At 49.2% G+C, this 15,680-nt stretch overlaps 1 long non-coding RNA gene across 1 annotated transcript in view, besides 2 other annotated features; it reads right to left on the bottom strand.

Moving 5' to 3' along the window:
• Window positions 58–457: a silencer, noted in NCBI's record as "silent region_13830". NCBI's record gives its function as "represses an Ori minimal core promoter by ATAC-STARR-seq in GM12878 lymphoblastoid cells {active_cell/tissue: GM12878}" and the evidence as "EXISTENCE:reporter gene assay evidence [ECO:0000049][PMID:35858748]".
• Window positions 1,801–2,300: an enhancer, noted in NCBI's record as "active region_19170". NCBI's record gives its function as "activates an Ori minimal core promoter by ATAC-STARR-seq in GM12878 lymphoblastoid cells {active_cell/tissue: GM12878}" and the evidence as "EXISTENCE:reporter gene assay evidence [ECO:0000049][PMID:35858748]".
• The window catches only part of LOC124900479 (uncharacterized), a 31,093-nt gene continuing 19,860 nt past the window's right edge, over window positions 4,448–15,680 (bottom strand). The window contains exon 3 of the long non-coding RNA XR_007068117.1: window positions 4,448–4,594. This is a non-coding gene — a long non-coding RNA (uncharacterized LOC124900479). The remainder of the gene's footprint in view (window positions 4,595–15,680) is intronic.

Genomic DNA, 15,680 nt, shown 5'->3' with positions numbered 1-15,680 from the left:
GACGCCCGCAATTCCGGGCCCTATCTCCAAGCTGTCCTGCCCCGCCCTACCCCAGGCAGGCCCCGCAACTCCAGCAGTCCCCGCCCCCACTCAGAAGGCCCCGCCTTCCCACCGCCCTGCCCGAGCCCCGGCGGGCCCTGCTCCCACAGCCGCGGGCTCCACCCCAGGAAGGTCCACCCCCACCGCCAGGCCGCGCCCCCACCCGCCAGGCCCGGCCTTCCCGCCACACTGTCCGCGCCCACCGGCTTGGAACCCAGCAGGGCGCCAACCCCCGGGCAGTCCTGATGGCCGCCCCCACGTCCGCGCGGGACCAGACCCGGGGAGCAACCACAGCGAGTTGGGCCTCTGAATGCTCGCTGGCCCGCGCCGCAGGGCTGAAGGCTACCCTTTGTTTAGTGGCTTACTAGCCCCCTTGACGGACAGCCTGCGTCCACCGTGTCCCCACCGTGTCCTGGGATTCTCAGCAGAGCCTGGCACAAGCCAGTCTTAATAATTGTTGTACAGGCCGGGCGCGGTGGCTCACGCCTGTAATCCCAGCATTTTGGGAGGCCAAGGTGGGCGGATCACAAGGTCAGGAGATCGAGACCATCCTGGTTAACATGGTGAAACCCCGTCTCTACTAAAAATACGAAAAATTAGCCGGGCGAGGTGGTGGGCGCCTGTAGTCCCAGCTACTCTGGAGGCTGAGGCCGGAGAATGGCGTGAACCCGGGGGAGCGGAGCCAGCAGTGAGCCGAGATCGCACCACTGCACTCCAGCCTGGGCGACAGCGAGAGTCCGTCTCAAAAAAAAAAAAATTGTACAGGTGAACAAATGAATGTATAAATTGGGGACGTGGAGGAACCCTCCAGGTGAGGGATTATAAACAATATCTGCCTGGAAAGGATCGAAAACCCCAAGTTATGAAGAGGATGTTTGGGGTGAGCAGATTCATGCACTAAATCCTACAATGAAAGAGGGAAAGTGCACCCTTTGAGTCTGAAACAGTGGCAAGTCTAGGACAAATAAGAACAAGTACTGGTAGTGAATTCTCTTTTTTTTTTTTTTTTTTTTTTTTGAAACAGAGTCTCGCTTTGTAGCCCAGGCTGGAGTGCCGTAGCGCGATCTCGGCTCACTTAAACCTCCGCCTCCCGGATTCACGCCATTCTCCTGCCTCAGCCTCCCGAGTAGCTGGGACTACGGGCACCCACCACCACACCCGGCTAATTTTTCTTGTATTTTTTTTAGTAGAGACGGAGTTTCACCGTGTTAGCCAGGATGGTCTCGATCTCCTGACCTCGTGATCCCTCCGCCTCGGCCTCCCAAAGTGCTGGGATTATAGGCGTGAGCCACCACGCCTGGCCAAGTACTGATAGTGATTTCTTATAATTTTATGTTGCCTTGGCATCCATTTTGATAAGATTCAAATTTTTCCTACCAGAAGTAGGGCTCAGTCTGTGGGCGGCAAGCCACCCAGGTGCCAAGGCAAGAGACCGAGGGCACGAGCCGTACCAGTATAATAAAATATATAAAATAAGAATAGTTATACTAGATATAGATCATAGATATGATTATATATGAATATCATTAATCATTAGTTTGTAGCAATTACTCTTTATTCCAATATTATAATAATCCTCACTCTACAATCATAACCTAGGAAAAATCAGGCCATACAGGGATAGGAGCTGAGGGGACATAGCGAGAAGTGACCGGAAGACAGGAGTGCGAGCCTTCTGTTATGCCCAGACAGGGCCACCAGAGGGCTCCTTGGTCTAGCGGTAATGCCAGCGTCTGGGAAGACGCCCGTTGCCAAGCGGACCGTGGTCTAGCGGTAGCATCAGTGCCAAGGAGAAACACCTGCTACTTAGCAGACCGGGAAAGGGAGTCTCCCTTTCCCCGGGGTAGTTTAGAGAAGACTCTGCTCCACACCTCTTGTGGAGGGCCTGACTGATTGCCCACAGTTATCCGGAGGCCTAACCGTCTCCCTGTGATGCTGTGCTTCAGCGGTCACACTCCTGTTTCACTTTCATGTTCCACTCTGTACACCTGGCTCTGCCCTCTAGATAGCAGTAGCAAATTAGTGAAAGTACTAAAAGTCTCTGATATGCAGAAATAATGGTGTAAGCTGTCTCTCTCTCCTCTCTCTCTGCCTTGGGTGCCAGGCGGGGAAGGGCCCCCTGTCCCATGGACATGTGACCCACGTGAACTTATCTATCATTGGAGATGGCTCACACTCCTTACCCTGCCCCTTTGTCTTGTATCCAATAAATATCAGCACAGCCTGGCATTTGGGGCCACTACCGGTCTCTGCGTCTTGGTGGTAGTGGTCCCCTGGGCCCAGCTGTCTTTTATGTCTTTGTCTTGTGTCTTTATTTCTACAATCTCTCGTCTCTGCACATGGGGAGAAAAACCCACTGACCCTGTGGGGCTGGTCCCTACACAGTCACCCTTGGCAGTTTCCAGGTCTACACCACACCCAAAGGACTGCAGAGATAAGAAGTCAGAGGCCTGACAGGGTGGGAATAGGCTCAGGTCTGTAATCCAAGGCAGGAAGATTGCTTGAGGCCAGGAGTTCGAGACCAGGGCTGGGCAACATAGTGAGACCCACCCACCCCCACTACCACAACCACTCAAAAATAAAATAACGCTTAGAGGCATCTCTTCTGCCTAGCAGACTGCACTCCTGCTTTTCTGATGCTTCCTTTAAAAAGAACAGTCAGGCATTTGGTCAGCAAACTTATTGACCCATGATCATTCCCTTCTATCTGCTGTTAGTTGCCACGTGCTCTTTCTGCCTGACTCTTCACTCCTGCCTCCCGTGACCAGGGACGAGGACTTCCCTCCAGTCTCATTACACTTCCCTTGCCCAGGTTCTGTATTAAAAATCTTTGGACTTGTTTCCTCCCGCGGTGGTGGGTTGAATTTGCACTTTCCATCAGAACAACCAGGGGCTGCCCTAGGCCGGGCTCCCGGTGCCAGAGCAATGGTCAGGCAGCATAAACCAGACATGGGTCTCACCAGAGCCACTAGGGCCTTTCCCATGTGAGGGGCCTCTGGTCATAGGTCAGACACTAGGCATGAGGTTGTCCACTAGTTACAAGAAGTATCCTGTGAAAGGTGCACTGCACACATCCACGTCTAGCCCCCTACCTTTCTGCTTAGGGCAGGTTGCTGGCTGCTCTGGTACTGGAAGCCCAGTTTAGCTGGGGGCTCTCAAAACAGGACTTCCTGTTCCTTCACTACCATTTGCTAGTTGGAAGCTCTGGGAGTAAATGGGATGTGGTCCCTCGGGCTCCAGTCCAGCAGCGCTCATGAGTGGCGAGCTACAGTACAGCACGCTAAGGTGGGGAAAGATCTTTACAGCGAGTTCTCCCTAGACCGGGACAGGGGAGCCAACCCCTGGAGACAGAGAAGACCTTGGGCTGCAGAAGTTAAGGGAGCTTCCCGGTGGAGCCGCAATGCAGGGAAGGTTGTCAATGGCTAGAAAAAGTGGGCAAGGGCGGATGATGGACTGGAGCTTGGTGTGGCATTAGGTTACAACAGGCCTTGCATGTGGGGCCGAGGAGCTTGGCCCTTATTCTGAGTGGTGGGGCCCTGGGGAGGCTAGGGGCTGGGAGATGACAAAACTGCTTCTAGAAAGGTCCATGCACGGTACAGTCCATCAGCTCAGTAAACAGTTTGGCTTTCTATGGGCCTGGACCCTTTTACAAGTTATACAAGGGGTCAAAGATCCTGGAGTAACAGAGGCATTGAGGACATGACCCCTATGAGGTGGGTTGGTCTCTTTCCTCTTCTGCCCTGAGGACCCATTGGCAGACCCTCTTCACTGATGACACCAAATTTATGCCTGGGCGCCAGGCTCCAGCCTGACTCAGGGGTGGGGACCTGACCTCCATCTCAACCTGCTGTGGCTCTACCAGCCCCTTCAACACAGAGGCACCCACCCCCTCTGTCCAGCAGATTCGCGGCCTCAGTCCCCCACTTCCACCGCCCCCCCCCGCCCCCATCCTCATCTTCACACTCACATCCTGTTATCACACCTCAGCCTTTCCCCACCTGCCTCTCTTCACTTTCATTCCTGTGACCCTCCCCACCTCCCACCCCCTGGGCTGGCTAGCTCGTCGTCACCCCAAGAAGACAAGAGAAATCACTTTGTGCCATGCCACCAGCACCCCCCTGGAGCTCAGCTGTAGCTCCGATCTTACTTCCCTGTGTGGGAGTCTCCGCTGCTTCTCACCGCCTGCTGGAGGGAGGTGGATTCCTGCCCCAGCATGGAAAGCCTTCTCTGGAGCCCCTCTCTCTTTTATACCACATTTAACTCCAGGAATGTTGGGCTGCTCATTCTATGCACCTGCCCCCAGTTTTCACACTTCTGTATCTTTGCTTACACTGCTCCTTCAGCCCAGAACACAGTTCCCCTTTGCCTTTACCATTGAAATCATACCCTTCTTTTAAGGCATAGTTCAGAATCACCTGCTCCAGGAAGCGCTCTACGATCCTCCCAGGTGAAATGCATCTCCCCATCTCCATTACTGCTGCTGCCACCTGCCTCTCACCCCTATGTGGTGTTGCAGTCCATTGGGTCTGGCTGCCTCTCTGGCTGGATGTCTGCCCTAAAAAGTGGAAAAAGGTCTCATTCAACTTTGTTTTTCCCCATAGCGTCTACCAGAGGACCTTGCACACAGTAGGGCCTCAATCAATGTCTGCGGGTTGAAGTGGCTGAGAACTGCTAAGAACATCCTCTCCCAGTCTCCCTAAAAGGGCTCACAAAAGCAGCAGCAAGCGGGGGTGGGGGAGGGCGTGGATTCTGGAGGGCATGGATTCTGGCGGGAATTCTTAAGATGTTATCTTCTCACCCCTTTTTTATGTTAACATGGTAGCCACATCCAGAGACACAGGAGTGTATGAAGTGTTCACATAAACACTTGTGAGAGACAAAGGTTTCCCAGGAGTTCCTCCTTCATCAGCAAGACAAGGCCCCTAAGCTACGTCGGTGAAATAAAAACTGACACTAAATGCAATGTGGTATTCTGGACTGGACCCTGGAACAGACATGGCCAAGAACATTAGGTTTATTTATTTTTTTTGGTGAGACGGACATTTACTGTTGTTGCCCAGGCTTGAATGCAATGGCGCGATCTCGCTCACTGCATTCTCCGCCTCCCAGGTTCAATCGATTCTCCTGCCTTGGCCTCCCGAGTAGCTGGGATTACAGGTATGTGCCACCACGCCCGGCTAATTTAGTAGAGACAGGGTTTCACTGTGAAGAACATTAGATTTAAAGACAAACATACACAGGGGGTTAGCAAATATGTGTACTGTGAAACGTACAGTCATTTATTTATTTTTTTGAGACGTAATCTCTCTCTGTCGCCCAGGTTGGAGTGCAGTGGCGCGATCTCGGCTCACTACAACCTCCGCCTCCCAGGTTCCAGTGATTTTCCTGCCTCAGCCTCCTGAGTAGCTGGGATTACAGGCACCCTGCACCACGCCCAGCTAATGTTTGTATTTTTAGTAGAGATGGGGTTTCACCATATTGGCCAGGCTGGTCTCAAACTCCTGACCTCAGGTGATCCACCTGCCTCGGCCTCCCAAATTGCTGGGATTATAGATGTGAACCACCGCCCCCGGCCAAAATGTGTAATGCCCAACCTTGTTTTTTCCTTATTCACCTGGCCTTGTTTCTCCCTTAGCTAAGAGAACCAGACAAACTCCATCTTGACTCTTTCACTGGCAGCCCCTTCCTCAAGCACTTAACTCATGCAAGCTGACTCCCAGCACATCCAAGAATGCAATTAACTGATAAGATACTGTGGCAAGCTGTATCCGCAGTCGCCAAGAATTCATCTGATTGATAACGCCCAAAGCCCCGCGTCTATCACCTTGTAATAGTCTTAAAGCCCCTGCACCTGGAACTGTTCACTTTCCTGTAACCATTTATCCTTTTAACTTTTTGACTACTTAACTTCTGTAAAATTCTTTTAACTAGACCCCCCCCCCCACTTCCTAAACCAAGATATAAAAGTTAATCAAGCCTCTTCCTCAGGGCTGAGAGAATTTTGACCGTTAGCCGTCTCTCGGTCACCGGCTAATAAAGGACTCTAAATTCATCTCAAAGTGTGGCGTTTTTCTAACTCGCTCAAGTACAACAAATGTACAGTCATTAATGAGAGTGTTAATGAGCATGTTTTGCTTTGCTTTACCTTTTTTTTTTTTTTGAGACACGATCTTGCTCTGTCACTCAGGCTGGAGAGCAGTGGCTCAATCCCTGCTCACTGTAGCCTTGAACACCTGGGTTCAAGGGATCCTCACCTCAATCTCCCAGGCAGCTAGGGCTACAGGAATGGACCACGATGCCCAGCTAATCTTTCAATAATTTTTTTTTTTTTTGTAGAGATGGGGGTCTGACTACGTTGCCCAGGCTGGTCTCCAACTCCTGGCATCAAGCAGTCCTCCTGCCTCACCCTCCCAAAGCTCTGTGATTATAGGCATGAGTCACCGTGCCTGGCCTACTTTAATTAAAAAAATAAATTTTGGCCAGGCACGGTGGCTCATGCCTGTAATCCCAGCACTTTGGGAGGCCGAGGCAGGCGGATCACCTGAGGTCAGGAGTTCGAGACCAGCCTCAACATGGAGAAACCCCTTCTCTACTAAAAATACAAAATTAGCTGGGCGTGGTGGCGCATGCCTGTAATCCCAGCACTTTGGGAGGCCGAGGCAGGCGGATCACCTGAGGTCAGGAGTTCGAGACCAGCCTCAACATGGAGAAACCCCTTCTCTACTAAAAATACAAAATTAGCTGGGCATGGTGGCGCATGCCTGTAATCCCAGCACTTTGGGAGGCCGAGGCAGGCGGATCACCTGAGGTCAGGAGTTCGAGACCAGCCTCAACATGGAGAAACCCCTTCTCTACTAAAAATACAAAATTAGCTGGGCATGGTGGCGCATGCCTGTAATCCCAGCTACTCGGGAGGCTGAGGCAGGAGAATTGCTTGAACCTGGGAGGCGGAAGTTGCGGTGAGCACCATTGCACTCCAGCCTGGGCAACAAGAGTGAAACTCCTTCTCAAAAAAAAAAAGAAGAAATTTATTTCCCAGTCATGTATTTATCTAAAACATTTTTATATTCAATTTTCTTTCTTTCTTTCCTTCGTTCTTTCTTGCTTTCTTTCCTTTCTCTCTCTCTCGTTCCTTTTTTGAGACAGAGTCTCGCTCTGTTGTTGCCCAGGCTGGAGTGCAGTGGTGCAATCTCAGCTCTCTGCAACTTCTGCCTCCTGGGCTCAAGCAATCCTCCCACCTCAGCCTCCCAAGTAGCTGGTATTACAGGCATGTGCCATCAAGCCCAGCTAATTTTTGTATGTTTAGTAGAGATGGAGCTTCACCATGTCGGTCAGGCTGGTCTCGAACTCCTGACCTCAAGTGATTCGCCTGCTTTGGCCTCCCATAGTGCTGGGATTACAAGTGTGAGCCACTGGGCCTGGCTAGTTTCTTTTTCTTTTTAGAGAAAAGTTCTTGCTCTGTCACCCAGCCTGAAGTGCAGTGGCACAATCACAGTTCACTGCAGCCTCAAACTCCCGGGCTCAAGCAGTCCGCCCACCTCGGTCTCCAGAGTAGTTGGAACTACAGGCATGTGCCACTACACCCAGCTTCAACACATGCATTTAATGCTCTAAATTTCTTTTCTTTTTCTTTTGAGACAGGGTCTCATTCTATTGCCCAGGCTGACTGCAGTGGCACAATAACGGCTCACTGTAGCCTTGATCTCCTGGGCTCAAATGATTCTCCTACCTCAGCCATCCAAGTAGCTGAGACTACAGGCATGCACCACCACACCTGGCTAATTTTTGACTTTTTTGTAGAGATTGAGTCTTGAACTCCTGAGCTTAAGCAATCCCTCCACCTTAGCCTCTCAGAGTGCTGGGATTACAGGAATGAGCCGCCACATGGGCCTAATGCTCTTTTTCAAAAAATTTGTAGCTGTGTTCCATATAATTTGACATGCTGTATTTGCATTTTCATTGAGCTATTTTATTTTATTTTATTTTATTATTTTTGAGACAGAGTTTGGCTCTGTTGCCCAGGCTGGAGTGCAGTGGTGTGATTGTGGCTCACTGCAACCTCCACCTCTCAGGTTCAAGCAATTCTCCTGCCTCAGCCTCGCAAGTAGCTGGGATCACAGGTGCGTGCCACCAGGCCTGGCTAATTTTTGTATTTTTAGTAGAGATGAGGTTTCACCCCGTTGGCCAGGCTTGTCTCGATCTCCTGATCTCAAGTGATCTGCCCGCCTCCACCTCCCTAAGTGTTGGGATTACAGGTGTGAGCCACTGTGTCTGGCCTAATTTTTGTATTTTTGGTAGAGACAGGGTTTCACCATGTTGCCCAGGCTGGTCTCAAACTCCTGAGCTCAAGTGATCTGCCCACCTCAGCCTCCCAAAGTGCTGGGATTACGGGCATGAGCCACCGCGCCCAACAGGGCTACTTTGTTTTTACCCTGTCCCTGTCCACCCTATTTTCACCACCTGCTTTAAGAAACTTCCTCTTTGGCTGGATGTGGTGGTTCACATCTGTAATCCAGCATTTTGGGAGGCCAAAGCAGGCGGATCACCTGAGGTCAGGGGTTCAAGACCAGCCTGGCCAACATGGCAAAACCTTGTCTCTAATAAAAAATACAAAAATTAGCTGGGTGTGGTGGCGCATGCCTGTAATCCCAGCTACTCGGGAGGCTGAGGCAGGAGAGTCACCAGAACCCGGGAGGCAGAGGTTGCAGTGAGCCGAGATTGCGCCACTGCACTTCAGCCTGGGTGACAGAGCGAGACCCCATCTCAAAAAAAAAGAAAAAAAGGAGGTTGGCTGTGTACACTGTTCTGCACCTTAGCAATATATTCCTGAGCTTCTCCTATATTTGTCAAAAAAAAAAAAAAATCACAAAGCTGCCTCACTCTTTTTTATACTTGTGAAGTCTTCTGCTGGGTGACTATTCCACGGTTGTATTTGTCTATCCTCTACAGAGAGAATATTGGAATCTTGCCCATGTTTTGCTTTACAGACAATGCTCCAATGACTAGCATGGTCAGAGATAACCATGAGAGAACTTCCCAGAGGTGGGAGAGCCAGGGCAAAGGCTAAACACGTTTGTCATTTTCTAGATGTTTCCACATCACCAGACTGTCTTATTCTGCCTCCCTCCTGCACTAGACAAGCCTGCCTCCTTCCCTATGGCCTTGACAGATGACAGTATCCAGCTTTTGAAATTGTGTCAATTTGATAGGTGAGAAATTGTATCTTACAGTGCTTGGAATTTTTTTTCTTTTTATAAATTGGCTTAATCATCTTTTTATATATTTAAGGATCAGCTGTATTTTTTTTTTTTTTTTTTTTTGGAGACAGAGTCTCACCGTGTTCTCCAGGCTGGAGTGCAGTGGCGCGATCTCGGCTCACTGCAAGCTCCGCCTCCCGGGTTCACGCCATTCTCCTGCCTCAGCCTCCCGCGTAGCTGGGACTACAGGCGCCCGCCACCACGCCTGGCTAATTTTTTTTTTTTTTTTTTTTTTTTAGTAGAGAAGGGGTTTCACCGTGTTAGCCAGGATGGTCTCGATCTCCTGACCTTGTGATCCGCCCACCTTGGCCTCCCAAAGTGCTGGGATTACAGGCGTGAGCCACCGCACCCGGCCCAGGATCAGCTGTATTTGTAATGTCCTTTCCCTACTTTTTCTTTGTTTCCCCCCTGTATTTCTTAGAACTTTTTTTTTTTTTTGAGACAAGTTCTCGCTTTGTTGCCCAGGCTGGAGTGCAGTGGCGCAATCTCAGCTCACTGCAAGCTCTGCCTGTAATCCCAGCACTTTGGGAGGCTGAGACAGGTGGATCACCTGAGGTCATGAGTTCAAGACCAGCCTGGCCAACATGTTGAAACCCTGCCTCTAGTAAAAATACAAAAAATCCACCAGGCGTGGTGGCGCATGCCTGTAATCCCATCTACTTGGGAGGCTGAGACAGGAGAATTGCTTGAACCTGGGAGGCGGAGGTTGCAGTGAGCCAAGATTGCACCATTGCACTCTAGCCTGGGCGACAAGAGTGAAACTCCGTCTCAAAAATAAATAAAATAAATAAATAAATAATAAACCATAAAAAAATAAGCTCACTACTCGTGTTGCTGGAGTGGAGCCCATACCTTCCTTTTGGTTTGGTGCTTCGTGATTCATGAATTTGTTCTTTGCTCAAATAAACTGTTACATTTATTTTGTCCAAAGTTCTTCTTTTAAGACTGTGAAGGTATTTGATAGCTTTGATCAAAGTTTCCAATCAGTAGACATTAAGTAGAGATGGCCCTTCCTAACATGGTGGGCTTCATCCAGTGAGGTGAAGACCTTAAGAACAGGGCCGAGTGCAGTGGCTCACACCTGTAATCCCAACACTTTGGGAGGCCAAGGTGGGTGGATCACTTGAGCCCAGGGGTTCAAGACCAGCCTGGACAACATAGTGAGACACTGTCGCTAAAAAAAAATACAAAAATTAGCTGGCATGGTGGTGCACACCTGCAGTCCCAGCTACTCAGGAAGCTGAGGTGAGAGGATCACTTGAGCCTGGGAGATCGAGTTTGCACTGAGCCATGATTGCACCATTGCACTCCAGCCTGGGTGACAGAGTGAGACCCTGTCTCCAAAAAAAAAAAAAAAAAAGAGAGAGAGAGAGAACAAAAGCACAGGTTCTTGGAGAAGAAGAAATTCTGCTTCAAGTCTGTTCAAGACTGTGACATAGAGATCCTGCCTGAGTGTCCAGCCTGCAGCCTGCCTACAGATTTCAGACTTGCCAGACCCCACAATCTGTGAGCCAGTTCCTCAAAATAAATCTCAATCTCTGTCTCTCTCTTTCTATATATATATATAATACACACACACACACACACACACACACACACACACACACACAGTTGGTTCTGTTTCTCTGGAGAACCTGGAATGATACAGTTATCTAGTCATCTTGCTATCTAGATCAAGTGGCATATAATGGGGAAAAATGGCCATTCAAGGTTTTCATAGGGCTATGGACTGAATTGTGTGTGACCCCCCACCCCCCCCAAATTCAGGTGTTGAAGCCCCAATCCCCAGTGTGATTGTATCTGGAGACTCGGTCTTTAGGAGGTAATTAAGGTTAATCAAGTCATCATGGTGGGGCCCTAATCCAATAGGACTGTGGCTTTATAGGAAGAAGAAGATCTCCGTCTCTCCTCACCTCCCCCACGTGGAGAAACAGCAAGAAGGCAGCAGTCTGCAAGCCAGGGAAAGAGTCCTCACCTGAACCTGACCCTGCTGGCACCTTGATCTTGGACCTTCTATCTTTAGAACTGTGAGAAATTAAATTTAGGGTTTTTAAAATCTGCTCAGTCCACGGTTTTCATTATGGCAGCCTGAACTGATAGAGACACAGCAATACTTTCTGTCAGAAAAAACTGGAATAATACATTTAGGATACTCAAGACAAACACCAGCTAAGCCAGGATTTTATATCTGGTCAAACTAACTTTTTATTTATTATTTATTTATTTATTTTGAGACGGAGTTTCTCTCTTGTCACCCAGGCTGGAGTACAATGGGGTGATCTTGGCTCACCACAACCTCTGCCTCCCAGGTTCAAGCGATTCTCCTGCCTCAGCTTCCCGAGTAGCTAAGATTATAGGCACATGCCACCATGCCCGGTTAATTTTGTATTTTTAGTAGAGACGGGGTTTCTCCATGTTGGTCAGGCTGGTCTCGAACTCTCGACGTCAGGTGGTCAGCCTGCCTTGGCCTCCCAAAGTGCTTGGATTACAAGCGTGAGCCACCGCACCCGGCCTGGTCAAACTAACTTTTAAGTATAAAAATAGCAGTTGTCGGCTGGGTGCGGTGACTCACGCCTGTAATCCCAGCACTTTGGGAGGCTGAGGTGGGCAGATCATGAGGTCAGGAGATCGAGACCATCATGGCTAATACAGTGAAACCCCGTCTCTACTAAAAATACAAAAAATTAGCCAGACGTGGTGGCAGGCGCCTGTAGTCCCAGCTACTTGGGAGGCTGAGGCAAGAGAATGCCATGAACCTGGGAGGCAGAGCTTGCAGTGAGCTGAGATGGTGCCACTGCACTCCAGCCTGGGCGACAGAGCAAGACTCTGTCTCAAAAAAAAAAAAAAAAAATAGCAGTTGTCAAGCCAGATGCAGTGACTCATGCCTGTAATTCCAGCACTTTGGGAGGCCAAGGCAGGCGGATCACTTGAGGTCAGGAGTTCAAGACCAGCCTGGCCAACATGGCTAAACCACATCTCTACTAAAAATACAAAAACAGCTGGGCGTGGTGGCGCACGCTTGTAATTTCAGCTACTCAGGGGGCTGAGGCAGGAGAATTGCTTGAACTTAGGGGATGGAGGTTGCAGTGAGCCCAGGTCGTGCCACTGCACTGCAGCCGGGTGACAGAGTGAGTTACAAAGAAAAAAAAATAGCAGATTGTCACCAATGTGCAGGAACCCAGAGAATATTGTTCCCAAAGACTTTCCTGAGGAATTACGAGAAAATAAGCGTCAGACAACCAAAGAGACTAAAAAGACATTGACATTAGCCTGGTGTGAACATTAAAGATACATTTACATGGAGAACCAAGAGAAGATGAGGAGTAAAAGGGAGAGTATGGAGTGTAATGGTTACATTCGCCAACAACATAGACAAAGTTTAGCTATAAACAGGGGGAGAAAATGGTGTGGGCATATCTTTAAAATGTTGTTTTTTTTTTTTTTTTTTTTGGCCAGGCATGGTGGCTCAGGCCTGTAATCTCAGCACTATGGGAGGCCGAGGCGAATGGATGGCTTGAGGTCAGGAGTTCGAGACCAGCCTGGCCAACATGGCGCAACTTCATCTCTACTAAAATACAAAAATTAGCTGGGCGTGGTGGTTGGTACCTCTAATCCCAGCTACTTGGGAAGCTGGGGCAGGAGAATCACTTGAACCCAGGAGGTAGAGGTTGCAGGGAACCAAGATCGCACCATTGCACTCCAGCCTGGGTGACAGAGCAAGACTCCGTCTCAAAAATAATAATAATAATACTAAAATAAAATTTTTTGGAACTGTTTTTAGTGATCATATGGACTGGTAATGTTAAATTTTTATTCTAACAATGTTTTCGAACATGGGACAAAGCAATTAGTAATTATGTGATATTCAAATTCTATCATCCCCAGTGGCCAGAGAACTGAATTCCTGGTGTAGGGAAAAGGAGTTACAGATGTGAAATAGAAGAGAATGAGTAACATCTTGTCTCCTGAATTTGAATCAGAAGTATCAGTATGTTTCATGAGGCATCTTATCTTAAAAAAAATACACAAATTCACATACACACACACACACACAAACACCTTGTAGCTGTGTACTTTGAAAGAGTCTTAACAAAAACATAAAAAGCTTAATCTGATTAGCACTCTAGATGCAATGATCAATTTATAGGAAGAAAAAAGAAACCTGTTAACCTATACCACAAGAATGTAACCAGCAAAATCCAGACTATGGGAAGTGATACAAATTAACCATCCCAAATTTTTCAATAAAAAATTGAGAGAATAAAGAGATGCAGGGGGAATCTATAGATTGAAAGAGACTCTTAAAAGCAGGCAGTACTAACTATAATATTTAGGGAGGCTATATTAATTTTCTATGCTATGCAACAAATTACTACAAATTTAGCAGCTTTTTTTTTTTTTTTTTTTTTTGAGATGGAGCCTCACTCTGTTGCCAGGCTGGAGTGCAGTGGCGCGATCCTGGCTCACTGCAACCTCTGCCCCCGGGTTCAAGTGATTCTCCTGCCTCAGCCTCCCGAGTAGCTGGGATGACAGGCATGCGCCACCACATCCAGCTAATTTTGTATATTTAGTAGAGACGGGGTTTCACCGTGTTAGCCAGGCTGATCTCGAACTCCTGACCTTAGGTGATCAGCCCGCCTTGGTCTCCCAAAGTGCTGGGATTAGGGGCAGGAGCCACTGCTCCTGGCCCTTTTTTTTTTTTTTTTTGAGCCAGAGTTTCGCTCTTGTTGCCCAGGCTGGAGTGCAGTGGCACGATCTCAGCTCACTGCAACCTCCGCCTCCTGGGTTCAAGCCATTCTCCTACCTCAGCCTCCAGAGTAGCTGGGATTACAGGCACCCACCACCACACCCGGTTAAGTTTTTGTATTTTTAGTAGAGACAGGGTTTCATCATGTTGGCCAGGCTTGCTTCAAACTCCTGACCTCAAGTGATCCACCCTCCTCGGCCCCTCAGAGTACTGGGATTACAGGGGTGAACCACAGTGCTGGGCCCAGAATCCATTTTGAAGTGGAGCCAACAGGATTTGCTGCTGGGTGTTGTGAGAGTGGGAGGAGTCAGGGATGACGCACGGGTGTTGGCCTGAGCAGCTGGAGGAAGTGAGTTGCCGTGAGCTATGGGCACAGCCAGAGCTGGCTTTGTTGACTGTTTTATCTGATGCTGACCAGCCACTGACCTACTCTTCCTACAGATACATTGAGACTATCACACCGAGGGCCCACGGGCTTCGCTGGTCCGAGACCAAGTGTCCTTTCTCTTGAAGTGTTTGCATAATGTCTGCTTCAATGCACTGTAGGTGGTGTGCACTGTAGAGTTTCACTCTCAGGAGGAAATTTATTCCACAACGGTAGCTGCACGTGTCTACCCAAAGATATTAACTTGCTGTGTTACCGACTCCTAGCATTCCTTAGGACTGTATGGCTTTGAACTTCATCTGAGGCTTCTACACTCTGTGGCTTTGACTTGGCCCTCCTCTGCTACCTGTGGTGATTCTTAGGGGCTGGTACAATTCTTTTTTGTTGTTGTTGTTGTTGTTGAGACGGAGTCTTGCTCTGTTGCCCAGGCTAGAGTACAACGGCGTGTGATCTTGGCTCGCTGCAACCTCTGCCTCCTGGGTTCAAGCGATTCTCCTGCCTCAGCCTCCCGAGTAGCTGAGATGACAGGCATGTGCCACCACATCCAGCTAATTTTGTATATTTAGTAGAAACGGGATTTCACCATGTTAGCCAGGCTAATCTCGAACTCCTGACCTTAGATGATCCGCCCGCCTTGGTCTCCCAAAGTGCTGGGATTAGGGGCATGAGCCACCGCGCCTGGCCCTTTTTTTTTTTTTTGAGACAGAGTTTCACTCTTGTTGCCCAGGCTGGAGTGCAGCAGTGCAATCTCGGTCCACTGCAACCTCCGCCTTCCAGTTTTCAAGTGATTCTCCTGCCTCAGCCTCCTAGGTAGCTGGGATTACAGGCACCCACCACCATGCCTGGCTAATTTTTTGTATTTTTAGTAGAGACGGGGTTTCACCATGTTAGCCAGGATGGTCTTGATCTCCTGACCTCATGATCCGCCCGCCTTGGCATCCCAAAGTGCTGGGATTACAGACATGAGCCACTGCGCCTGGCCTTTTGTATTTTTTAGTAGAGACGGGGTTTCACCATGTTGTCCAGGCTGGTCTTGAACTCCTGACCTCGTGATCTGTCCACCTTGGTGTCCAAATTGCTGGGATTACAGGCGTGAGCCACGGCGCCCAGCTGTTTTTTGTTGTGGGTGGTGGTGGTGGTTTGTTTTGTTTTGTTTTTGAGACAAGATCACCCAGGCTAGGGTGCCGTGGAGCAGTCATGGCTCACTGCAGCCTTGAACTCCTGGGCTCAAGCCATCCTCTTGCCTCAGCCT

This window comes from Homo sapiens, chromosome 22, assembly GCF_000001405.40.
Source record: "Homo sapiens chromosome 22, GRCh38.p14 Primary Assembly".
NCBI classification, from domain to species: Eukaryota; Metazoa; Chordata; class Mammalia; order Primates; family Hominidae; genus Homo; species Homo sapiens.
The sequence above is the reverse complement of the archived record's forward strand: the minus strand, read 5'-3'. Positions and strand labels throughout refer to the sequence as shown.